Below are 26022 nucleotides of genomic sequence, written 5' to 3' on the forward strand. Positions count from 1 at the left end.
CAAAGACATTACTGGCCATGATGTCTCATGCTTTTTATTTGATAAGACTCAACATCTCTAATGAGTTTTCAGATCTCTAATGAGAAAGAGATGTTAAAAAAAAATTCAGAAAAAAAATTCAGAATGGTGTCCCACTCAAAGCTTGCGGTGGGTGGGGGGTGGGCGTCTAAAGCCGGTCAATCTACCTCAAAGGGGTGATCATGGGTTTCAACTTCAGAATGTGAAGATGGCGCAGGCATATTGGGGAAGAAGGAAGGGTACAGGGTAGTCAATCTGGTCCCAACCATCCTACCCCCGCTACCCCTAACTTCTGAATCTCTCTCCAAGTCACTCTATATCATCGGCACTGCAAATACTGTCTTTCTCTTCACGGACAACTGGGAGAGATTTAATCTAAGAAAGACTCAGTGGAAGAAACGCATGGATATTATTTTCCAATCAAGGTGCCACACAGAATGGAGACCCATCCTGGCTCCAAATTCTCTTTCAATTCAGGTCATTAATCTTATTCACCCTCCTTTAAGCTCCATATAGATCTCAGGTAGACCAGAGAGCCTTCCCTCTGAGTCTGGGGTCTTTTCTATAATCAAACAGTTTCTCACCTGAACTGTATCAACCAGGAATCTTGTAGGTCACACACTTCTTCCAACAAAGAGGAACTGTGAAAACATTATGTTGGCCAGGCACAGTGGCTCATGCCTGTAATCCCAGCACTTTGGGATGCTGAGGCGGGCGGATCACGAGGTCAAGAGATCGAGACCACCCTGGCCAACATGATGAAACCCCGTCTTTATTAAAAATACAAAAATTAGCTGGGCCTGGTGACACACGTTTGTAGTCCCAGCTACTCTGGAGGCTGAGGCAGAATCTCTTGAACCCGGGATGCGGAGGTTGCAGTGAGCTGAGATTGTGCCACTACACTCCAGCCTGGCGAGAGGGCAAGACTCCGTCTCAAAAAAAAAAAAAAAGAAAGAAAATATTATGCTAAGTAGTGAAATCTTCAGTCCTGCCCCCCGCCCCCCACCACCCACAGCTCTTTCAGAAGTTAAGAAAACAACAGGAAAAAGAACAATTCTGTTGATTGAACCAAGACTCAAGATACCATGAATTAATCCAAGTCTCAGAAAATAATTAAAAAAAAAAAAGACAATCCCGATGAGGTTACAGGACACAAAAGATAACAAGAGTCATCACCGAATAAGACTAGGAGGCCTTCCGGAAAGGGACAATTTTCTGAAAAGCTTGCCGAAACTCTTCATTAAACACAGTGTAGATTATTGGATTGATGAGGGAGTTTAAATAGCCTAGCCAGGTGAAGAAGTCAAAGAGCGCCGGGTGGATCCAGCAGGAGTCCCGGCAGATGGGGAGGACCAGAGACACCACGAAGAAGGGCAGCCAGCAGATGATAAAGGCCCCCAGAATGATGCCCAGGATTTTAGTGGCTTTCCTTTCTCGAGCAGCAGAAATCCTCTTGCGTTCCAGGGCACTGTCAGCAAGCTTGATTTTCACGTGGTTGAAAAAGAGAGGGGAGCCAGCCGAGTGCGAGTGCCCCTCATGGAGGCTGGAGTTGAGCGAGCAGAGCGAGGACCCGGCAGAGCCTGTGATGAGGTGGGCCGTGGTGAAGCGCTTCCCATAGAGTGAGGGTGGATTCAGGATGCGGTTCCGGGCAGCCCGGTAGATCCGGCCATATAGGATGATGAGCAACACCGAGGGAATGTAGAAGGCCCCACAGGTGGAGTAGATGGTGTAGGAGATCTGAGAGGTGTTCACCAGACAGTCCGACATCTCCTCCTGGGCCTTGGCCTGCCGCCAGAAGAGCGGGGGGATGGAGATGCAGATGGAGATGGCCCAGACAATGGCGATCATGGTGGCCGCGTGGCCAGCCGTCCTGCGTTTACTGTATTCCAGGGCATCTGTGATTGCCCAGTACCTGTCCAGAGCAATGACACAGAGATGCAGGATGGAGGCTGTGCAGCACGTGATGTCAGAGGACAGCCAGATGTCACACAAGATTTGGCCAAAGTTCCAGGTGTGGGTGATGGTATAGGCGATGCTGATGGGCATTACCAAGATGGAAACCAAGAGGTCGGTGGTGGCCAGGGAGCCAATCAGGTAGTTGGCAGGGGTGTGGAGCTTCCTGGTGAGTAAGATGGTGGTGAGTACAAAGGCATTGGAGAGGACTGTGGCCAGTGTGATGACGGAAAGGACCACGGCAAGGGAGATCTTGAGCGCCTGGAGGGTCCTGGGATCCCAAGCCTCTGAGGTTTCTGTGGCATTCAGGGATCTGTTGGAGGCCTCCTGGGGAAGGCCTTCTGCTGACTGGTTCAGTGGGGACATGCTAGGTGGCTCTCTCTTCCCACAGACCTCCACACATTTGGCTCCTTCCTTCAAGGTTGTCCTGACAACAGAGCAAAGTCATCCTTCTGCTTCACACTGGTGGGAGCCGTACACCAGAACAGACCACAGTGAAAAGGTCTCAAGACCAGACTATTCTCTAAGTACAGTTGCAATAAAATAAAATTAAATAACAATAATAATAATAATATTAAACAAGACCGGACTATTTGAAGAATGCTGAGACAACTACCAGCTGGTAGTTAAAGGTCTTTCCTAAACCACAGGAATCCCAAGATGTCTCAGGGTCCTGGAACTTTTCCCAGCAGATGGTCATGCCCAGGGGACACATGCTGAATTTGTTAGACAATTATCAGGGGATCACACCCAGGTGGGCAATGCCCTGGGATTCTTGCCTTTGGCATCTGGCTCTTTTCAAAGCTTGAGACATTCGTGTGTTTAATGAGAACTTCAGAATTCCCCTCACAGTAATTGAAACGATTCTGGATTTAGGGTTGCTTCTGAGGAGCTTTTAAAACTAGACACAAAAAGAAGTTCCAGCCGATTCAGAGAAGCAGTCCAGTCAGCACAGCAGCTCGCGGTTTTCCCAGGTTCATCTTGACGCATCCTGAGCTACTTAACTTCGGTTCCTATCCCACTGATCGTTTTAGAGCCTGAACAGACAAAACATCCTGGTTACCAAGACTCGAAGAATGCATAAGCTGGGACCAGGCAAAACAAACAGATCACTGTGGGCTCACAGAGCAGGGACACATTCAGAAGATCTGGGATTTAAAAAAGAAAAAAAATAGAGTTAGGTTCTAGAAGGACAATGTGGAAGCCTGAAATGAACTATATGATTAAAAAGATACTACTTAAAGCTGGCCATGGTGCTGTGAAACTGGCATTCTAAAAAGTATCAGAATACAGGGAGGGTGATGTGCCCCACCCATGCAATTCCCAGAGGGGACAAAGAGTCGTAGCTTTTGGAATCATCACAAGCTTGTTAGAAGTACATGAAATCAGCTCTGTAAGTTGTGAATCAGAAAGCATCATTTTATTTATTTAGCAACAATGGAAACAAAATAAAACTGTACACAGGGAACGATAAAGGCCATCAGGAAAGAAACCAAATTGTTACAATGTATTTCTCTACAAAGTATGGGGGGGGGTGGCCCTTTTTCTACTCATTTGAATTTTCCAAATGTCCTATAGTGAGCATGAATAATTTTTTTTTTTTTGAGACAGAGTCTCGCTCTGTTGCCAGGCTAGAGTGCAGTGACGCAATCTCGGCTCACTGCAACCTCTGCCTCCTGGGTTCAAGCGATTGTCCTGCCTCAGTCTCCCAAGTAGCTGGGACTACAGGCACATGCCATCACGCCCAACTAATTTTTGTATTTTTAGTAGAGATGGGGTTTCACCATGTTGGCCAGTCTGGTCTCAAACTCCTGACCTCATGATCCGCTGCCTCGGCCGCCCAAAGTGCTGGGATTACAGGCATGAACTACTGTGGCTGGCCCCTTGAAGCTTTTTCAGACCTTGTCCTATGTACCTTTTCTTCTGGTTGTTCATTTGAATCCTATATAATAAACCAGTAATTTTAAAAATCATTTGTTTATTTATTCATTTTGAGATAGGATCTAGCTCTGTCCCCCAGGCTAGAGTGCGGTGGCATGACCACAGCTCACTGCAGCCTCGACCTCCTGGATCAAGTGACCCTCCAACCTTAGCCTCCCAAGTAGCTGGAATTACAGGTGCACACCACCGTGCCCAGCTAATTGTTTTTTATTTGTTTGTTTGTTTTCACAGAGGCAGGGTCTTGCTATGTTGCCACGGCTGGTCTCAAACTCCTGGACTTAAGCGATCCTCCAGCCTTGACCTCCCAAAGTGCTGGGATTACAGGTGTGAGCGGCTTTAGCTTCTTAACGTTTTAAAAATCAATCACCAGCTGGGTGCGGTGGCTCTTGACTGTAATCCCAGCACTTTGGGAGGCCGAGGTGGGTGGATCACCTGAGGTCGGGAGTTCGAGACCAGCCTGACCAACATGGAGATACCCCGTCTCTACTAAAAAAACAAAATTAGCCATGCGTGGTGGTGCATGCCTGTAATCCCAGCTACTCGGGAGGCTGAGGCAGGGGAATTGCTTGAACCCAGGAGGTGGAGGTTGCAGTGAGTCAAGATCGTGCCATTATACTCTAGCCTGGGCAACCAGAGTGAAACTCTGCCAAAAAAAAAAAAAAAGAAGGAGCAGCAGCTAAACCTGCAATGCAGTATTTTCCCTCCCACTCCCCAAATTTGTGGGTGCTTCATTAAAAAAAAATCTGCCTGGAGGAGAGGGGAAAGCCTCAGTTTAAGAAAACCAATCCTAAGCCACCAACTCCAAAACATATATTACAGTTTAAAGGATATTATAACAATATCTTTTGAAGAGCTCTTGCTATATTTCAGGCACTGAGCTAGCTTTGGGGCTAAGAGTCATCCAACCTGTAAAGTGGGCAACGTGGCTCCCAACTTATAATGACCCGACCAATGCTCAGAGAGGTGATGTCACCTGCCCAAGGCCACCTGGCTGGAAGTGGAAAAACCAGGTCCAGAGCTCTCAAGAAATTTCTACCCTTGCCTACATTGCCTCAGTTGAGGATGAAAAGCCTTAAGGCACGCGTGTATAGCTGGTGTGATGACCCCCTCCTGCCCCCACTCGCCCCAGGCTCCACCCCAAAAGCCTCCGGCTGAAGTTTTGCTCCCATTTTGGTTCATATGGAAAATGTGAACTCTGGTTGGCTCGTTTGAAACTTTCTTCCCTGCAGACAGTCTGGGTGACTGAGGTGCGTCATTTCCCAAGGAAGCCTGGTGTGCCTGCCCCACAAACTCATGCGGTCACTCCTTGAGTTCCAAGCATTCCAGTGACCTAATTTCAGTGAAAGGCGTGGGTTCAGAAAGGCTCAAGGGGCTGGTGTGTGTGTAAGCCCTCCAGCCCTCAGCAACATCTTGGGAAAAGGGACAGGGACACAGGGACAGGAGCAGACAGACTTGGTTAGGAAGGCTAGGCTGTAGCTTTGCAAGAAGTAACACAATTGAGAGGCTATCTCCCCTCCTGCCTGCTATCCTTCCCCATTGTGAACAAAGGTAGGAGAATTTCTCATAATCTAGCTACCTTTGGAGACATGGACTGTAGCTCTATAAGCAACTGTCTCTTTCCCGTCACACTTCAAATAATAAAATAAAAAATACAGGCCAGGCGTGGTGGCTCACACCTGTAATCCCAGCACTTTGGGAGGCTGAGGCGTGTGGATCACCTGAGGTCAGGAGGTCGAGACCAGCCTGGCCAACATGGTGAAACCCCATCTCTACTAAAATGCAAAAATTAGCTGGGCATGGTGGTGGGCACCCAGCTACTCGGGAGGCTGAGGCAGGAGAATCACTCGAATCCGTGAGGCAGAGGTTGCAGTGAGCCAAGATTGCACCATTGCACTCCAGCCTGGGCGACAGAGCAAGACTCTACCTAAAAAAAAAAAAAAAAAATTAAAATGACAATGAAGGCTGGGTGTGGTGGCGTATGCCAGTAATCCCAACACTTTGGGAGGCCCAGGTGGGAGGATCACTTGGGCCCAGGAGTTCAAGACCAGCCTGGGCAACATAGCAAGACTATCTATTTTAAACAAAAGAAAAAAGAAAGAAAAATTAAAATGACAAGAAGATACCATTTTCACCTAGTAGAAAAGTACAACATTTTAAATCTGATCATGTCATGTCAGTTAATAAGAGTGTGGAGCTTGGGAGACTGAGGCAGGAGGACTGCTTGAGCCCAGGAGTTCAAGATCAGCCTGGGCAGCACAGTGAGATCCTGTCTCTTAAAAAAAAAAAAAAAGTGTGGGCCGGGCGCAATGGCTCACGCCTGTAATCCCAGCACTTTGGGAGGCCAAGGCAGGAGGATCATGAGGTCAGGAGATCAAGACCACGGTGAAACCCCGTCTCTACTAAAAATACAAAAAAAAAAAAATTAGCCGGGCACAGTGGTGGGCGCCTGTAGTCCCAGCTACTCGGGAGGCTGAGGCAGGAGAATGGCGTGAACCCAGGAGGCGGAGCTTGCAGTGAGCCGAGATCGCGCCACTGCACTCCAGCCTGGGTGATGGAGCGAGACTCCGTCTCAAAAAAAAAAAAAAAAAAAAAAGTGTAGAGCAATTTTCTACCACTAGTAGAGTAAAAATTGGAGAAACTTCATAAGCAAACAATGTGGTATTATTTCATAAAACTAAAGATGTGATGACTACCTCATGATTCAGCAATTCCGCTGCTGGGTATGCATGGCAGAGAAACTCTTCTGTGTTCACTAGAAGACAGCAACAAGAATGGTCCTAGTAGCATGAAATAGCAAACAACTAAAAACAACCAAACGTCCATCAACAGCAGAATGGTAGCATATGGCGTATTCCTATGATGGAGGGCTACAGAGAAGCAAAACAGAGTAAACCACAGCTACACATACCAAAATGGTGATTGTCACAAACAAGGCAGAGTGCCAAAGTCAAAAACACGCAAGAAGAAACAAACTGTTAGGGAGATAAATATATGTGGCAAAACCATAAGGAAAAGCAAAGAAATTATAAATATAAAATTCAGGATAGTGGTTACTCCTGGAGGGAAAAGGAAGAAGGAATATAATCATAAAGGGTTTTAAAAGTTTCAATTATGTTCTTTTCACGATCTCGGCTCACTGCAACCTCCACCTCCCAGGTTTAAGCGATTCTCCTGCCTCAGCATCCCAAGTAGCTGGGATTACAGGTGTGTACCACCATGCCCGGCTAATTTTTGTATTTTTTTTTAGTAGAGATGGGGTTTCGCCATGTTGGCCAGCCTGCCTTGGCCTCCCAAAGTGCTGGGATTATAGGCGTGAGCCACCATGCCGGGCCTTTTTGAGAAAGGGTCTCACTCTGTCACCTAGGCTGGAGTGCAGGGGCATGATCACAGCTCACTGCAGTCTTGACCTCCTGGGCTTAAGTGATCCTCCCACCTCAGCCTCCTGAGTAGCTGGGACCACAGATACACACTACCACTCCCAAGTGATTTTTAAATTTTTTTGTAGAGGTGGGGTCTCCCTATGTTGTCCAGGCTTGTCTTCAAACTCCTGGACTCAAGCAATTCTCCCACCTTGGCCTTCTAAAGTGCTGGGATTACAGGTGTGAGCCGCCATGTGTGGTCTTTTTTTTTTTTTTTTTTTTTTTTTTTTTTTTTTTTTTAGAGAGAGGGTCTTGCTCTGTCACCCAGATATAGTGGCACAGTCATAGCTCACTGCAGCCTTGAACTTCTGGGCTCAAGTGATCCTCCCAACTTGGCCTCCCAAAGTTGGGATTATAGGCATCAGCCACCATGCCCAGCCTGATGTTGTATTTTTTAAGTAGGTGGTGAGTACATTAATATTAATTGTTATTCGTGTGTGTGTGTTTGTACTGCTTTGTAGGGAATGATGTATTTGTGATTTTTCTTTCTTTCTTTCTTTTTCTTGGCGGGGAAGGAGTCTTCCTCTGTCACCCAGCCTGGAATGCAGTGATGCAAATCTTCGCTCACTGCAGCCTCCGCCTTCCGGGTTCAAGTGATCCTCCCACCTCAGCCTCCTGAGTAGCTGGGACTACAAGCACGTACCACCATGCCTGGCTAATCTTTGTATTTTTAGTAAAGATGGGGTTTCACCATGTTGGCCAGGCTGGTGTTGAGTTCCTGACCTCAGGTGATCTGCCCACCTCAGCCTCCCAAAGTGCTGGGATTACAGGCATGAGCCACCGTGCTCGGTAGTATATGTAATTTTTCTCAATCTATTTTGTATATTATGAAAAAGAACCCTATCACCAGCAATAATATATTGATACATTAATACCTATTGATAATTTTTAGTGCAGAAGATCTGCACTCTGGTCCCAGCTCTGCCACTGACCAGCTGGGTAACCATGGGCAAAGCACAGTCTCTTTGACCCTTAGTTACTTCCTTGGTGAAATGGGAACAAAAGCCTGGCTCTGCTGTCCGAAAGGAGTATTGAGTAGCGCCAGCAAGATCATGTATGTGTTGTGTTGTAAACAGTGGAGTCCTGAACAATTGTCATGATGCTAACAAAGAAGGAATACAGTGGCTAAGAGCAGGCATTCTCAGCTCCCAATTCCTACTGCTTCGCTTTCTTGCTGTGGCCACTGGGCAAATCACTTCACCTCTCTGAGCCTGCACAGCCTCAGTGATGGAGATGATAATCCAAATCTCACAGGAGTTTGGGGAGAACTGTCAATATCATGGAAACCAAACGCTCAATATAGTCAATGGTTTCTTTTTGTTTGTTTATTTATTTATTTATTTATGGATAGGGTCTCCCTGTGTCGCCCAGGCTGGTCTCAAATTCCTGGCCTCAAGTGATCCTTTCACCTTGGCCTCCCAAACTGTTGGGATTATAGACCTGAGCCACCGTGCCTGGCCTTGTAATAAAATGGTGACCACAAATGTGACTTCTCTGGTTCTCTATGGTGCATCCAACCAAATTCAGGTCTCCAGGCAACAACATCACTTCCCTCACCAGAAACAAAGTATCACTGCCCGTTTTGGTGAGAGATGTCTGCCATTGTCAGAAACCCAGACATACCAAGGAGCTTCCTCCCTGCCCACCCATTTTCCCAGGGGCCATGACAGCAGCAGCAGAAGCAAGGACCTTTCTCGGCCCCCACCTCCACCTCCAGGCCACAGCATCTCCCCTGAAGTCCAGATCACATGGACTCCAGCCACACCATGCCTCTCCCAGCTCTGGCATCTCTGAAGAGGGGTGGAAAGAGAAAAGCAGACAGACAGACTTATGACCCAATCCCAGCCTGTTCCAGAGACCACTTTTGATCACAGCTGATTGGACCAGGGTGGACATGTGACCCAAAATGAGCCAATCAGATTCTCTCTTGGGAATTTAGAATGGAGACCATGGGGAGCTGGGCTGGATAGAAGATGGGGGAAGATAAATCTGCAGGCCAAGGGTCCTGAGGCTGGAGTCAGGCTGCAGCCTTTACCAAAGCCAAGGAAGGTTTTGGGGGAATAGAAAAGCCAAAGGTAAACAAAAAGCAGGTCTGTAGAGAGGGGCAGGAGAATGGAGCAGAGAAAGAAGCTGAGGGAGAGGAACCACCTGTCCTGGGAGAGGAGAATGAAGGAGGCTTCCAGGCCAGGGAATACTCCTTCCCATCCCTGTATGTCCATGAGCGACCTTCTATCCAGGAAACCTCATTTGTACCAACTCATGTTTTCCCAGCTGAGCCAGTTTACACGGACACAGCAGCCTCTGAGAAATGGTAGTAAGACAAGGAACTTTCTTCTTCTTCTTTTTCATTTTAAGAGGCAGGGACTTCCTCTGTTGTCCAGGTTGGAGTGCAGTGGCATGATCATGGCTCTCACTGCAGCCTCGATCTCCCAGGTTCAAGTGATCCTTCCACCTCAGCCCTCCAAGTAGCTGGGACTACAGACACAAGCCACCATGCCCAGCAAATTTTCAATATTTTTTTGTAGAGATGGGGTCTTCCTGTGTTGCCCAGGCTGGTATGGAACTCCTGGGCTCAAGTGATCCTCCTGCCTCAGCCTCCCAAAGTGCTGGGATTAGAGGCTGAGCCACTGTGCCCAGCCAAGACAGGGGACTTTTGGTTCCTTCCCACCAACCAATCCCTACTGTGGGGTCCAAGTCCTTTCACCTCCTGGGCCCTTCTTCCTCATCTGTAAATTGGGATAATGACATCTTTCACCCAGAATTGTGATGCGGCTTCAATGAAGTAGGGAGAACATGCCTAGCACAGTGGCTGGCACACAGCAGGTGTTTTTTTAATTTTTGTTTTATTTTTCGTGGTTTTTTGTTGTTGTTGTTGTTGTTTTGTTTGTTTGTTTGTTTTTTGAGACAGAGTCTCACTCTGTTGCCCAGGCTGGAGTGTAGTGACCCAATCTCAGCTCACTGCAACCTTTGCCTCCCAGGTTCAACCTATTCTCCTGCCTCAGCCTCCTGTGTAGCTGAGATTACAGGCATGCACCACCACAACCGACTAATTTTTCTATTTTTAGTAGGGGGTTTCACCATGTTGGCCAGGCTGGTTTCGTACTCCTGGCCTCAAGGGATCTGCCCGTCTGAGCCTCCCAAAGTGCTGGGGTTACATGCATGAGCCACCGCACCTGGCCAGCAAAAGCTGGCCTCTTACAAAAGCAAAAGCTGGCCTCTTACAAAAGCTTCCTATCCAGGGCTCATTCAGCCTGCAGGAAGATCTGTTGCCTCCACTTTCTGAGGGCTCTTTAACTAAGTGAGTCATAAAACCTTGCCAGGAACAAAAAGGATGTATGGGTTTAATGTGTCCTTAGAAGCCAGTCTCATCTTTTTGGAAGAAAAAAATAAGGCTCTGTGATAAAAAGATTTGTTGCAGTAGAATACATCCCCCACACAGTAATTTGTGGCTGTTCTTTCTGTAGAAGCTGTGTACACAGATGAGTGAGCTCTGGATGGAGAAATCACTCTGCACAAATCAGGACAGGGCTTTATATTTTACAAAATGCACCCACAGGTGTTATTTCATCTCATTCTCTCTCCTGCATGGGACCTCCTACAGCCTCAGTTTTCTCCTCTGCAAAAATCAGGGTATCAAGTCTACCTCCCAGAGATATAATGAGGATTGGATAGAATACATGTGGGAAGAATCTGGAAAGTTTCTTTCTTCTTTTTTTTTTGAGACAGAGTCTCACTCTGTCACCAAGGCTGGTGTGCAGTGGGGCAATCTCGGCTCAATGCTACCTCCGCCTCCCAGGTTCAGGCGATTCTCCTGTCTCAGCCTCCGGAGTAGCCGGCCACCACGCCTGGCTAATTTTTTTATTTTTAGTAGGGATGGGGTTTCACAATGTTGGCCAGGCTGGTCTCGAACTACTGACCTCAGGTGATCCCCCACCTCGGCTTCCCAAAGTGCTGGGATTACAGGCATCAGCCACCGCGCCCGGCCAAATCTGGAAAGTTTTAACATGGGTATGGGTGTGTGTGTACGTGTATGCATCTCCCCCATCTCATGCTCTCTCTTTCTACCTGTATCTGAGTGCCAGTTTTAAAATCTAATCACTGTCTTGAGGTGTAAGCAAATCAGTCTTGCACCTCAGTTTCTCTAATCATAAAATCTGGAAAATGAGCAGGGCATGGTGGCTCACGCCTGTAATCCCAGTGCTTTGGGAGGATGAAGTGAGATCACTTGAGGCCAGGAGTTTGAGACCAGCATGAGCAACATAGCGAGACCTCATCTCTCCAAAATATTTAACAATTAGCCAGGCATGGTGGCATGCATCTGTAGTCTTAGCTACTTGGGAGGCTGAGGTGGGAGAACTGCTTGAGCCCAAGAGTTTGAGGTTACAGTGAGCTATGATGGTACCACTGCACTCTAGCCTGGGCAACAGAGTGAGCCCCTGTCTTAAAACAAACAAACAAAAACCTCTGTGAAACATAGAAAATAAAAAGTCACCAAACTTCCAGCCCAGTACTTCCATTCCTAGCTGTACATCCAAGAAAAACATGTGTGTACGTCCACCAAAAGATACATGCAAGAATTGTTCACAGCAGCACTATTCATAACAACCCCAAATTGCAAACTACCTAAACAAACATCTACAGTAGAACGGGGCCAGGCACAGTGGCTCATACCTATAATCCCAGCACTTTGGGAGGCCAAGGCAGAAGGACTGCTTGAGGTTAGGAGTTTGAGATCAGCCTGGGCAATACAGGGAGACCGTCTCTAGAAAAAAATGTTAAAAAAAATTAGCGCTTGCCTACTGCCATGTAAGACATGACTTTGCTCCTCCTTCGCCTTTCACCATGATTGTGAGGCCTCCGCAGCCATGTGGAACTGTGAGTCAATTCAGCCTCTTTCTTTATAAGTTACCCAGTCTCTTTTTTTTTTTTTGAGACGGAGTCTCACTCTGTCACCCAGGCTGGAGTGCAGTGGCACAATCTCGGCTCACTGCAAGCTCCGCCTCCCAGGTTCACGCCATTCTCCTGCCTCAGCCTCCCGAGTAGCTGGGACTACAGGCACTGGCCACCACGCCTGGATAATTTTTGTATTTTTTAGTAGAGACGGGGTTTCACCGTGTTAGCCAGGATGGTCTCGATCTCCTGACCTCGTGATCCACCCGCCTCGGCCTCCCAAAGTGCTGGGATTACAGGCATGAGCCACCATGCCCGGCCACACTCATTTTTTTCATGTGGAAAATGCGAACAATAACAGCACCAATGTCACATGACTGTCACATGAGTGACAGGTAGGTGACTTGCCCAAGATCACATGGCAGTTTAGTGTCCCTCTCAGCTCAGCTCAATGCTTCTACTGCCCTGTGCCACCTCTCCCTGCCCCCATCAAAAGGAGTATTTTTTTTGTCCCTTGATTCTGGGTTCAGCATGGACTCGCTATGGCCAACAGAATGAGGCAGAAGTGACAGTAAGCCAGTGCCAAATGTAGTCCTCTAGAGGCTGTGCATGTTTCTGCTTGCACTCTGTCATTGCCATCCCTGGGCTATGCGCACTGGTCCCTGCAGGGAGAGACAAGGACGTGGAGCAGAGCTGTTCCAGCCAAACCCGGCCTAGAACAGAGCCTCTCACACAACCAGCAGACACATGTGCGAGCCCAGCTAAGATCAGCAGAAATGCCCAGCCAAGGGTATCTATCCAGAGGAAAAGAAGTCATTATACAAAAAAGATACTTGCACATGCATGTTTATAGCAGCACAATTCGCAACTGCAAAATCATAGAACCAACCCAAATGCCCATCAATCAACAAGTAGATAAAGAAACTGTGATTTATATGATGGAATACTATCCAGTCATAAAAAGGACTGAATTAACAGCATTTGCAACTACCTGGATGAAACTGGAGACTATTATATTCTAAGTGAAGTAACTCAGGAATGGAAAACCAAACATTGTATGTTCTCACTGATATGTGGGAACTAAACAATGAGGATGCAAAGGCATAAGAATGATACAATGGACTTCGGGGACTTGGGGGGAAGGGTGGGAGGGGGAAAGGGATAAAAGACTACGAATAGGGTGCAGTGTGTGCTGCTTAGGTGATGGGTGCACCAAAATCTGACGAATCACCTCTAAAGAACTTATTCATGTAACCAAATACCACCTGTACCCCAATAACCTATGGGAAAAAAAAGTACTCAGCCAAGTTCAGATTAAATCAGCCAACCTCCAAATACATGATTTGTAGTAATAAATGCTGTTGTTTTAATTCACTGAGTTTGAGGGTAGCTTGTTACACAGCAATGCCAATTGATAAAGTCCCTTCATTCATTAAGTGTGTGTTTTTGTTTTGTTTTTGAGACAGTTTCACTCTTGTTGCCCAGGCTGGAGTGCAATGGCGCTATCTTAGCTCATTGCAACTTCCGCCTCCCGGGTTCAAGTGATTCTCCTGCCTCAGCCTCCCGAGTAGCTGGGATTACAGGCATGCGCCACCAGGTCCAGCTAGTTTTGTATTTTTAGTAGAGATGGGGTTTCATCAGTTGGTCAGGCTGGTCTCGAACTCCTGACCTCAGGTGACCCACCCTCCTCAGCCTCCCAAAGTGTTGGGATTACAGGCGTGTGCCACTGCACCTGGCCTCTCCATTCATTGAATGACTTGATTCTGTCCATTCTACTGCCCACACCTAACTGTGCCTTGACTCTTCTCTCCCCCTCCACTCCCACTGCCACTGTTCTGTTTCAGGAGAGTGAAACCATCCTTCTTGGCTTCAATGGTCTCCCAGCCTCTACCCCTGGCTCCTCTCCATTCTCTAACCATATCCCACCCAGAATCTTCCTTCCTTTCTTTTTTTTTTGAGATGGAGTCTCGTTCCGTCACCCAGGCTGCAGTGCAGTGGTGCGATCTCGGCTCACTGCAAGCTCCGCCTCCTGGGTTCACGCCATTCTCCTGCCTCAGCCTCCCGAGTAGCTGGGACTACAGATGCCCACCACCATACCCAGCTAATTTTTTTGTATTTTTAGTAGAGACGGGGTTTCACCGTGGTTTCGATCTCCTGACCTCGTGATCCACCCACCTCGGCCTCCCAAAGTGCTGGGATTACGGGCGTGAGCCAACGCGCCGGGCCCAGAATCTTCCTTTCAACTAACAGTCTGACCAGGTCACTCCCTTAAAATCCTCCAGTGGCTCCCACTGCACCTGGGATTAAGCCCAGGCTTCACAGCTTGGTTTAAGAGACTCTTCATGAACTGGTGTTTCCTTCCATCTCCAGCCCCATCTCCCAGCATAGCTGGCTGTGAACTGCATACTCCAGCAGCACAGACCTGCCTGTTCTTCTGCCAGTACCCTCCTGCCATACCCCAGGCTCCGGTGCTGTTTCCTGCTGATCCTTTGTCCCTGCTGTGTCCTCTGACTGGAAAATGTCCTTTCTTCAGTCCCCTGGCTACCTAATTCCAAGTCACCCTTCAGAGCTAGGCTCTGGTGTCTCCCCAGGAAGCCTTCCCTAACCTCCCCCCAAGCCCGGCTTGGCTCAGGTACCCCTTTCCTGAGAGCCTGCCACCCTAGCTCTCACCATATTAGACTGACTCTGACACAGTAACAGGAGCTCCTTGAGTGTCTCATTCACCCCTATAGCCCTGACGCCTGGCCCAGAGCAAGGGATCCATACCTGTCTATGAAAGGCTCCAGGAACTGGTGGGGAATGGGCCCTGAGAACAGAGCACACGCCTGAGAGGCAGAGGCCCTGGGCTTTAGCTTGGCTTTGCTGCGAACTTTCTGTGTGACCTAAGATAAGTCAGTTCCTCCTCCGAGCCTCAGTTTCTCCAACTTGAAAATGAGGTAGTTGGACCAGATCAGAGATTCTCTTGGTGAGCATCAGAATCACCTACCTTGAAGAGCTTTAAAAATACAAGTCAGGCCGGGCACAGTGGCTCACATCTGTAATCTCAGGACATTGGGAGGCCAAGGCAGGCAGATCACTTGAGGTCAGGAGTTCGAGACCAGCTGGCCAACATGGAGAAACCCCGTCTCTACTAAAAAAAAATACAAAAATTATCTGGGTGTGGTGTGTGGTGGTACGTGCCTGTAGTCCCTGCTAGTCAGGAGGCTGAGGCAGGAGAATCGCTTGAACCCAGGAGGCAGAGGTTGCAGTGAGCTGAGATCGTGCTACTGCACTCCAGCCTCGGTAACAGAATGAGACTCCATCTCAAGAAAAAAAAAAAATCTGTTAAAAACAACAACAGATATCTAGGCCTCACCCTCCAGGGGGCAGAGCCCAGGCACTGATTTTTGAAAACTTCTCAAGTGCTTCTAAGGTAAAACCAAGAAGAAAAACCACTGGCCTGGATGATACCTAGTTATCTTCATCACTGACAATTTGGCTACCTTAAAAAAGTCAAAGACAGGTGAAACCTGTTTTCAAGGCCTTTGCAATGCTTAGGGAAATAAGAGGCCCCCAGTGCCTTCCTGCTTTCAGCCTTGCACTGGATCTCTACAAGTCTTCAACAGGCAAGAGACCACCTCAAACAACCAAACACACTGTTAAAAGGCAAGAGCCTCTTTTTTTTTTTTTTTTTTTTGAGGCGGAGTCTTGCTCTGTCACCAAGACTGGAGTACAGTGGTGCGATCTCAGCTCACTGCAACCTCCGCCCACCAGGGTCAAGCAATTCTCCTGCCTTAGCCTCCTGAGTAACTGGGATTACACCATGCACCACCACACCTTGCTAAATTTTGTATGTTTTTAGTAGAGACAGGGTTTCACCATGTTGGTCAGGCTGGTCTCGAACTCTTGACCTCAGGTGATCCGCCCACCTTGGCCTCCCAAAGTGCTGGGATTATAGGCGTGAGCCACTGCACCCGGCCTGCAAGAGCCTTTGAAGTTAACAACTCACTATATTCGCCCATGCTGTGGGAAAGTGGGTAAAGAGGTTTTAAATTCTTACCATCTGGCCAGGCACGGTGGCTCATGCCTGAATCCCAGCACTTTCGGAGATGGAGGTGGGCAGATTGCTTGAGCCCAGGAGTTCAAGACCAGCCTGGGCAACATGGCAAAAGCCCATCTCTACAAAAAATACAAAAATTAGCCAGGTGGCTGGGCATGATGGCTCACGCCTGTAATCCCATCACTTTGGGAGGTCGAGGCGGGTGGAACACCTGAGATCAGGAGTTTGAGACCAGCCTGACCAACATGGTGAAACCCTGTCTCTAATAAAAATACAAAAGTAGCTGGGCATGGAGGCACATGCCTGTAATCCCAGCTACTTGGGAGGCTGGGGCAGGAAAATCGCTTGAACCCAGGAGGCGGAGGTTGCAGTGAGCCGAGATCATGCCATTGCACTCTAGCCTGGGCAACAAGAGCGAAACCCCATCTCAAAAGAAAAAAAAAAGAAAGAAAGAAAAAAAAAATTAGCCAGGCATGGTGTCTCAAAAGAAAAGAAAAGAAAAGAAAAATCACCAACTGCTCCTATCATTACTAACTGGGGGTGGGGGAAATGAATTAGTGCACCCATTTTACAGACGAAGAAACTGAGGTCCAGAGAGGTAAAATGACTGGCTCCCAGCCACACAGGTAATATATGGCACAGCTGGGATTGAGAGCCAAAGTTCAGAAATAAAATAGCCACTATTGGCCATGTGTGGCCATTGGGCACTTGAAATGTAGCCCCTGAGATGTACCTGGTTCAAAAAAAGAATGTAAAAAAAGAATATAAAATATCTCACTAATAAATGTATTAGTTACATGTTGAAATGGTAATATTTTGGGTGTAGTAGGTTAATAGAATATATAAAATTTTCACTTTTTTTTTTTTTTTTTTGAGACAGTCTTGCTCTGTCACCCAGGCTGGAGTGAAGTGGCACAATCTCAGCTGACTGCAACCTCTTCCTCTCTGGTTCAAGCAATTCTCCTGCCTCAGCCTCCTGGGTAGCTGAAATTACAGGTGCGCACCACCAGCATGCCTGGCTAATTTTTGTATTTTTAGTAGAGACAGGGTTTCACCATGTTGGCTAGGCTGGTCTCCAAATCCTGACCTCAGGTGATCCGTCCGCCTCGGCCTCCCAAAGTGCCTGGGATTACAGGCGTGAGCTACCGCACTCAGCCTAGTTTCACTTTTTAAAAATGTGGCTACTTTGAAATTTCCTAAATTGAAAAATCACATTTGTCACTCTTGTTATATTTCTATTGGTCAGTCCTGCTCTAGCAGTGGCTCTCAGTACAGGTGATATTACTCCCTAGGGCTCACATCAGGAGTCTGTCCTCAGGGAACTGCATTTCCAGGGAGGGGGTTGGGACAGTAGGGGGGGAGGGCGCTATGTGGGCATGGGGATGAGGAGGGGTCATAATGGCCCCAGTAGTAAAGTAGTGGCCAACATTTATTGAGAGTTTACTATCTGCCAGGCACTGTTCTAAGCTTCTCATGTATTAACTCATTTAAGTCTGACCGCAACCCTCTGTAGTCAATCCTATTATTATTATCAATTATTCCCACTTCCCAGGGGAGGAAAGTGAGGCTCAGAGAAATGGCTTGCCTAAGACCCCAGAGATAGGGCACTGTGGATCTAGGATTGGAATCTGGGCTTGCCCGACTCCATGCTCCACCATCCATAAAAGGTGCCAGGTAAAGTCAATTCCACTTCTTTCTTTCCACAAATACCTACCCCACACATTCAAGAAATCTGTACTGGGTACCTGTGATGTGCCAGGCTCCATCACTATCACCTGAGCAGGCCCTCTCTCTGACAGGCCTGGTGACGGCAGCTTGGCACAACCCAAAGGAAGGGGAAGGAAGTGGTGACTGGGCGCTTCTCACACTTGAATGTGTACATGCATTACCTAGGGATCTTATTAAAAATGAGGATTCTGATTCTGTGGGTCTGCAGGGTTTTGTTTGCTTGTTTGTTTTGGGACAGGGTCTCACTCTGTCACCTAGGCTGGAGTGCAATGATGTGATCTCGGCTCACTGCAATCTCCCAGGTTCAAGTGATCCTCCTGCCTCTGTTTCTTTAGTAGCTGGGACTACAGGTATGTGCCACCATGCCCGGCTAATTTTTGTAGTTTTAATAGAGACAGGGTTTCACCATGTTGGCCAGGCTGGTCTCGAACTCTTGGCCTCAAGTGATTCACTCGCCTCAACCTCCCAAAATGCTGGGATTATAGGCGTGAGCCACCACGCCCAGCCAGGTCTGCAGTTCTGACAAGCTCTCAGGTGATGCCTGCCACACGGTGGTTGTGTGAGGGGTAGCAGTAGTGTCAGCCCTGGGATTTCAGAAGGGTATCAGGGTGTCAGATGGGAAGGACTCTTAGGAATCATCTAGTCCGACTCCCTCATGATGCTGACAGGAATTGGGCTCAGAGAGGGCAAGACACTTGCTCAAGGTAACACAGTGTGTTACAGGCTGAGACCAAGTCTTCAGACTCCCACCAGCGCTCCTTCTACTGGCTCCTGCTTGCAACAGGAATTTGAGATGAAAGAGAGAAGGCTCTCAGGCCCATTTCACACTATATGCTTCTGGCATTTTCAAGTCTCCCCCCCAGCTCTCATCTGAGTTTCCACACCAGGTGAGTAATCCTGGGAGCCGACTGGCAGGGCTGACCATACTTTGCAAGAAGCCTTTAGAACTGCATCCCCCCTATACTGGAGCCCAACCTCTCTCTTCTCTTCTCCCCCAGATGCTGCACACCTGGGTCCGCAGAGAACACTTTGAGCTGATGGAGTGAATATTTCCAGGACAGAGGAGAAGCTATCTTCTCTAGACTGGATAAACAAGGTACTAACAACAGGAATTCATTTTCTTGAAACCAAACACCAAATTTGTTAGTGTTTACAGGATACAAACTTGCTATTCATCATCTGCTTTTTCTTTTGGGAGCCACAATACAGGTGTGATTCAGAGCACAAGCTTTGGAGCTAGATACAGCTATGGAGTCAGGTAGACTGAACTCACGTGTCAGCTCAGCCGTTTTTCTAGCTTTGTGACCTTAGGCAAGTTACTCAACCTCTCTGTTTCCTCATCTATTCAACTACAATATACTTAAAGCCTACCACATGTTGGCATGAGCAATGCAGATGTGGACTCTCCTCTTAGGAGGACTTACAATGGCCCTGGGGAAATGATCCTGCAATGAGGACCACAGATATGATGAGGATAACAGTGGGGCATGCAGGGAGCTATGGGAAGGAAAGTAGGGGGACAGGTAGCCTGCTGCAACCCTGAGGTTTCACTGTGAAAGTGGCTTTGAAGCTGAGCGTGGGAGGACAAATAAAATTAACAAGTGAAACTGAAATTTCATACCATGTCCCGAGTTAAAAACAAGGAATTAGCAAGTGAAGAGAAGCTGGGTCCAATGATACCTATTCCACAGGATTGAACCTTGGAGAACTCTTCCCTGCAATACACTCCAAATCCTTTTTATGTATGTATGTATGTATGTATGTATGTATGTATGTATGTATGTATGTATTTTTATTTATTTATTTTTAGGCAGGCTCACTCTCTCTGTTGCCTAGGCTGGAGTACAGTGGCATGATCATGGCTCACTGCAGCCTCAACCTCCTGAGCTCAAGCCTTCCTCCTGCCTCAGCCTCCCAAGTTGCTAGAACTGCAGGTGCACCATCATGCCTGGCAAATTTTAAAAAAATTTTTTTATAGAGATGGGGTCTCCCTATGTTGCCCAGGCTGATCTTGAACTCCTAAGTTCAAGTGATCTTCCTGCCTCAGCCTCCCAAAGTACCAGATTACAGTTGTGAATCATCATGCCCAGCCCCAAATCCTTTTCTACATTTCCTATTGTTTACCTATCCAGACATCACACAGCCCGGTCATTTCCTCTCATCCTCCTATTCACCTGGACTGAACAAAAGACCCCACCTCCAGCCCACCTCTTGGCTGAGACCTTTGGCTGCAAAAACACTGCAGTTCTGTCACTTCCTTGAGTCTCTGCGCAGGCTATTCCCTCTATCTGCTCATCTCCCCCACCCTCTCGGGAAGTTTCCTGGTAACTAGGGAGGGACCTGATCACTTCCCTTCTCTCCACGCCACTGGTCTTCTAATGTATACATCACACTGGACTCCCCTGGACTGGAATCTCTTGCTTACCCCACCCCTGTCTCCTTGCTGGACTTGAATTCTGGAAGGAAGGGGCAACTCATGCCATGAAGCCCAGTGCCCTGTGTGTGGGTGCCCATCCCTCTCACTTACCATCCAGCTCCAACTTCACTCTCAAGACCAAGTTTAACTCTCCCCTCTTTACTGAAACTTGTCCTCCTCCTTCTGCCCAAGTGGAGCCAGCCTCTCTCTGTGCCAACACAGTGCCTCGCGTTTAGGATTTGTAATACACATCTCATTATCCTGCAGTCCAATGCCTGTGGTCTGTCTCCCCATAAGATGGTGCATTCCCAAGGCAGGGATACGGCTTTGTTCATAGCTATATATTTTAGGCTTAATACTTACAGATGCTGAGATTTACTCAAAGAATGAATAAAAAAAGAATACTGACAGTTTCACCTTTCTTTGACCCCTCTCTCTGTACCTCTGGCCCCAAATATCCTTTGGTCATCCCTCCTTTATGTCCCACAGGGGCTCCAAACTCAAGCCACCTCACTCACAGCAAGCCCTCCTGAGTGCCTCTTTTTTTTTTTTTTCTTAAGACGGGAGTCTCACTCTGTTGTCTAGGCTGGAGCACAGCGGCTCAATCTCCACTCACTGCAACCTCTGCCTCCCGGGTTCAAGCGATTCTCCTGCCTCAGCCTCCCAAGCAGCTGGGATTACAGGTGCATGCCACCACATCCAGCTAATTTCTGTATTTTTGTAGAGACAGGGTTTCACCATGTTGGCCAGGCTGGTCTCGAACTCCTGACCTCAAGTAATCCACCTGCCTCAGCTTCCCAAAGTGCTGGGATTACAGGAGTGAACCACCATATCTGGCCAGCGCCTCCTTTGTAGCAGACCTTATCCTGTTCTTCCACACCTAGCCCAAGCTTTGAATTCTTCCTTACTCTCTTCCCCAGCACTTAACCAGTTATTTCATAAAAACAATAAGGGTTGGGAGGTCGAGGCTGGCGGATCATGAGGTCAGATCAAGACCATCCTGGCCAACATGGTGAAACCCCGTCTCTACTAAAAACACAAAAATTAGCTGTGCGTGGTGGTGTGCGCCTATAGTCCCAGCTACTTGGGAGGCTGAGGCAGGAGAATCGCTTGAGCCTGTGAGACAGAGGTTGCAGTGAGCTGAAATCGCACCATTGCACTCCAGCCTGGGCGACAGAGACAGACTCCGTCTAAAAACAAAACAAAACAAAAACAATAAGGAAGCAGAGGCTCACATATCAATGGCAAAGTCTAGGGTCTTTCTCTTAATAGGCCAGACCTTTCACTCCCCTACACATTCTGTATTCTCTCCCTTGTCTTCACTAAACATGTTTGGGGCATTCATGTCTTAGTTCAGGCTGTTCCATCTGCCTAGAAGAGCAATCTTTCCCATTCCCTTTCATACATATCTGTTGTACTCCTGTCTGCTTTCTAAATTTTTTTTGTTTGTTTTTTAGAGATGGGGTCTCATCATGTTGCACAGGCTAATCTCAAACTCCTGGGCTCCAGCAGTTTGCCCACCTGGGCTTCCCAAAGTGGTGGGATACAGGTGTGAGCCACGCTACCCAGCCCCTCTCTCTGCTTTCTGAGGTCCTTTTCAAAAGCTACCTCCTCCAGGAAGTCTTCCCTGGACAACTGAGTGCAAAATCTCTCTCCTTTAAGCCCTCTCCCGACTCCAGGTTTGTTTGTGTCTCTCATTGCCTACTGCTGGAAGTTCCTTGAAGATTTACCTATTTTCTTCCCACTCCAGTGTTCAGAGCACAGTAGACTGGCAAATAATAGGAAATAACTTCTCTTGTAAGGCTCAAGTAGGCCCTGGAGAAAGATCAGTATTTCCTCTTCTCCATTTAAAGTTTTTGGCTGGGTGCAATGGCTCACGCCTGTAATTCCAACACTTCGGGAGGCTGAGGTAGGAGGATCACTTGAGCTCAGGAGTTCAAGACCAGCCAGGGCAACATGGCGAAACCCCATCTCTACAAAAAATACAAAAATTAGCTGGGCATGATGGTGCGTGCCTGTAGTCCCAGCTACTCTGGAGGCTGAGGTGGAAGGATGTCTTGAGCCCAAAAGGTGGAAGTTGCAGTGAGCCCAGAGTGCACTGCTGCACTCTAGCCTGGGTGACAAAGCCAGACTCTGTCATCATTCATTCATTCATTCATTCATAAATAAATACATTTCTCCAACAGCTCCCACTTCACTCTGAATAAAATTCAAAACTCCCATGGCTTACAAGGCCCTACGTGATCTGCTGCCACCCCGGCCGTCTCTCTGACCTCATCTCCTACCAGCTGCCCGTCTTAAATATCACCCCTTTGGCAACACCTTGACCAGCCAACATAAAGCAGCTCCCCTCCTCCACCACATCACCCTGGTTTATGCTAATTTTAGCACTTAACCTGATCTGATATTTTCTGCCTGTTTGTTTATTGCGTATCTTTCCCCACACACCCTCCACCTGCCCCATGCCCTGCTAACATACACCTCCTGTCTAGCTCATCCCTATATCCCCAGAGCCTAGAACAGTGCCTGGCTGAAAATAAATAGGTGGGTCAACAGCCTGAGGAGCGATCTGGGCTAGAGGCATACATGTATGAGTCATGTGCATAGAGGTGATAACTAAAGCCAATGGGGTGGGTGAGATCACCCAGAGAGAGTGTCTACTAGGAGAGGAGCAGAGGGCCTGGGGGAGCAGAGCATCTAAGGGCTGTAGAAAGGAGAATGAAGCCGCAAAAAGATGAGGGAACAACGTAACAGTGTCAAGTCACAGGGGCCCAGAGAAGAGAGTGTTTTGGGGAGAAGAAACAGTCAGCAGTGTCAACTGCTGCTGAGAGCAGTGAAAGACTGAGCAGGCCAGGCTCCATGGCTCATACCTGTAGTCCCAGCATTTTGGGAGGCCAAGGAGGGTGGATTCTTTGAGCCCAAGAGTTCGAGGCCAGCCTGGGCAACATGGCGACACCCTGTCTCTACAAAAAATGCAAAAATTAGCCAGGCATGGAGTCGCATGCCTGTAGTCCCAGCTACTGGGGAGGCTGAGGCAGGAGGATCACTTGAACTCAGGAAGTTGAGGTTGCAGTGAGCCATGATCACACCACTACACTCCAGCCTGGGTGACAGAGCACCACCCTGTCTCAAAAACAAAAACAAATAAGCAAAAAGACTGAGTGGTGTCTGCTGAATTCAGCTTCCTGGAAGACATGGCTGACCCCTGCCCCTCTGTGGGCCTTAGACGGGAAACATCTGTGCAATGAAAGAGACCTCTCAGGTCTGGGAACTCCATACTCTGAGAATCTGTATTTCTGCTCACATTCACATTACTCTCACCAAAAAGAATAGTCATCCATCCGTGGCCTAGGAGAGAAGGGATGAGCCAGTGGTCCCGCCCTCATTATTGATCCATCAGGTAACTGACAAACTCTAAGGAAGCATCTCTGTTTTTCTGGCCCTGTACTAGGTTCTGGAAGGCGGTGAGCCAGCAGGCAGGCCTGGGACTGGGAAGCCAGCACTAGGGCTCAGGGCTTCTGTGGCTGCAGAGACATGATCTCCATCCCCCACCCACGGGCTGCACTGGGACTTACTTGTTCATGAGATCAAAGCCTTGGTCTGACAGCAGGGCCCTGAAGTGCTTGTAGAGGTTGTTGTAGGGGTAGAGGCCCTAGCCCCTGCCAGTCAAGTCCAGCTGGCCTGGTCCCTCCCTCCTAGCCACCCTCTAGGTCCCAGCTTCCTGGATGTCTCAATGACAAAGGCTGCCTACTTCTCCCCACCAGTGGAGCAGGACTAAAGACTGAAAAAGGCTGGCTACCCCAATGGCCTCACTTGCTGCTGATAAAGTGTCCCCAAATGTCCTTGTGAGGAGGGCTGAGACCCCAGCCAGTGGCTGTGTGATCCAGAGGACAGCGCAGACCCACACCACGGGCTCAACTGGAAAACACTGGAAGCTGGTTGCAAGGAAGAGTGGAGGGGTTGCTGCTGCTGCTACTCAGAGAAATGATGGCCACTAGTGGCTGAGCTCTGGTTTGGAGCCAGGGGCTGTGCTGAGTGACAATCCCATTAGATTTGTACAGTAAGCCTGTGGGGTGAGAATTGTTGTCCCCACTTCATATGGGAGGAAACCACACCTCAAAGAAGGTAAGGGCTTTCCTGAGATCACACAGCTAGTAGGTGGCCAAGGCCAGTTTGCTAATGCAACCGGGACCCTGACTGAGAGCCCTGCTCTTAATCCCGAACTTTCCCAGACCTGGGGACTTTAGTCTTAGATTCTTCTACTGGTAGTGTGACCTTGGGCAAGACGGATTCCCCACTCTCCCCATTTGTAATAAAGCAGATTTCTCAGTGCCCTTCCAGTTCCGGCATTATGTGATTAGCTAGGATTTATACAGAACTTTACAGTTTCTAAAAAAAGCATCTAGCGGGGATCTCACTTATTTCCAGGGACCCTGCAAAGTGAGAGAATGCCCCTCTATTTGACAGACGTGCAAACTGAGGCTTGGAGAGATGCAGTGACCTGCCCAAGGTCACAGAGCCGGTCAGCCCCAGCCCGGAGCCAGCCGGGGCTCCACACCGGACCCCCTTCAACTCTCTCCAGAGAGGGGAGGCCCCTCCGCGGCGCCGCGCCCGAACCTGGCCAGCAGGGGGCAGCGCCCGGCTTCCCTTGGCGCCCGGGGCCCCTCGGGGGGCGTCGCGGTCCCCGGCCCGGGGGTGCTTCCTGCCCCTCCAGTTCTCGCCTGGGCGCTGGGCACCCCCAACGCGCGCGTGGGATCCCGCAGCCTCCCTGGGCGCTGCCTCAGTCCTCCCTTTTCTCCCGGGGCTCTGGACGGCCACCCCCGGTGGCCTCCCTCCGGCCGGGCAGGTCCTCCGGGACCCTCTCCCTGGCGCGCGCCCGTCCGAGGGCACAGAGAGGCGGGACGCCCCGGGCCCCCGAGGCCCCAGGAGGGGCGCCGCTCCCGGCCTCAGTTCCCCGCGGACGGCCGCTGGGGCCAGGCTGCAGACGCGGCCCCGAGAGCTTACCCGCTGCCCGGCGGGCAGGTGCGCACACCCGGCGTACCCGCCCGATCCACTTCCTCGCGCGGCGTCTCCCCGTCGCGGCCGCCTTGTCTCCGCCGCGACCCCCGCCGAACTCGGGGGCCGCCCGCCCCGCCGCCCCGGGGCCCTTTCCGGCTCGCGCCCTCGCGATCCCGCACCTGCCTCCGCCTCTCCCAGAGCCCTGCGGCTCCTTCTCCGCGCTCCCCTTCCCGCGCCCGCCGCTCCTCCTTGCTCCCTCCTCCAGCTCCTCCCTCGCCGGGCTCCCTCCCTACTCGGCCCCCCGCCCGCCCGGAGGAAGGCTTGGCCCCCGGCCTCCCCGCTCGGGATGGTCCGGAGCTCCGAGCCCCGGCCTGCGACTCGTAGCAGCCCCCGCCCAGCACCCGGGGTGGGTACGCGCAGCGGAAGGGAGGTGGAAAAGGCCCCGGGCCAGCGCTCTCCGGCCCCCACCTGTAGGAGGGCAGGTGGGCTGGCTCTGGGGTAGGGGTCTGCAGGGAGGTGGGCCATGCCCAGAGACACTTGGTGAAAGTCCAGCCTCCCCTATCCGTCCGGGTCCCCGGTGTTCATTCCTAGTTGGATTTTTGTTTTCTTCGTCTAACAAA

General features: G+C 49.3%; 1 protein-coding gene across 1 annotated transcript; it reads right to left on the bottom strand.

Moving 5' to 3' along the window:
• Positions 1-12: 12 nt before the first annotated feature.
• On the bottom strand, positions 13-25620 carry HTR1D (5-hydroxytryptamine receptor 1D). The gene is made up of 2 exons (NM_000864.5): positions 25409-25620; positions 13-3119 (listed from the first exon to the last, which is right to left on the bottom strand). Exon 2 carries the CDS (start codon positions 2335-2337, stop codon positions 1204-1206), a length of 1134 nt encoding a protein of 377 aa, NP_000855.1. The 5' UTR covers positions 2338-3119; positions 25409-25620; the 3' UTR covers positions 13-1203.
• Between the last annotated feature and the right edge of the window lie 402 nt (positions 25621-26022).

The sequence above is a fragment of the Homo sapiens genome, chromosome 1, assembly GCF_000001405.40.
Source record: "Homo sapiens chromosome 1, GRCh38.p14 Primary Assembly".
Classification (NCBI taxonomy): Eukaryota; Metazoa; Chordata; class Mammalia; order Primates; family Hominidae; genus Homo; species Homo sapiens.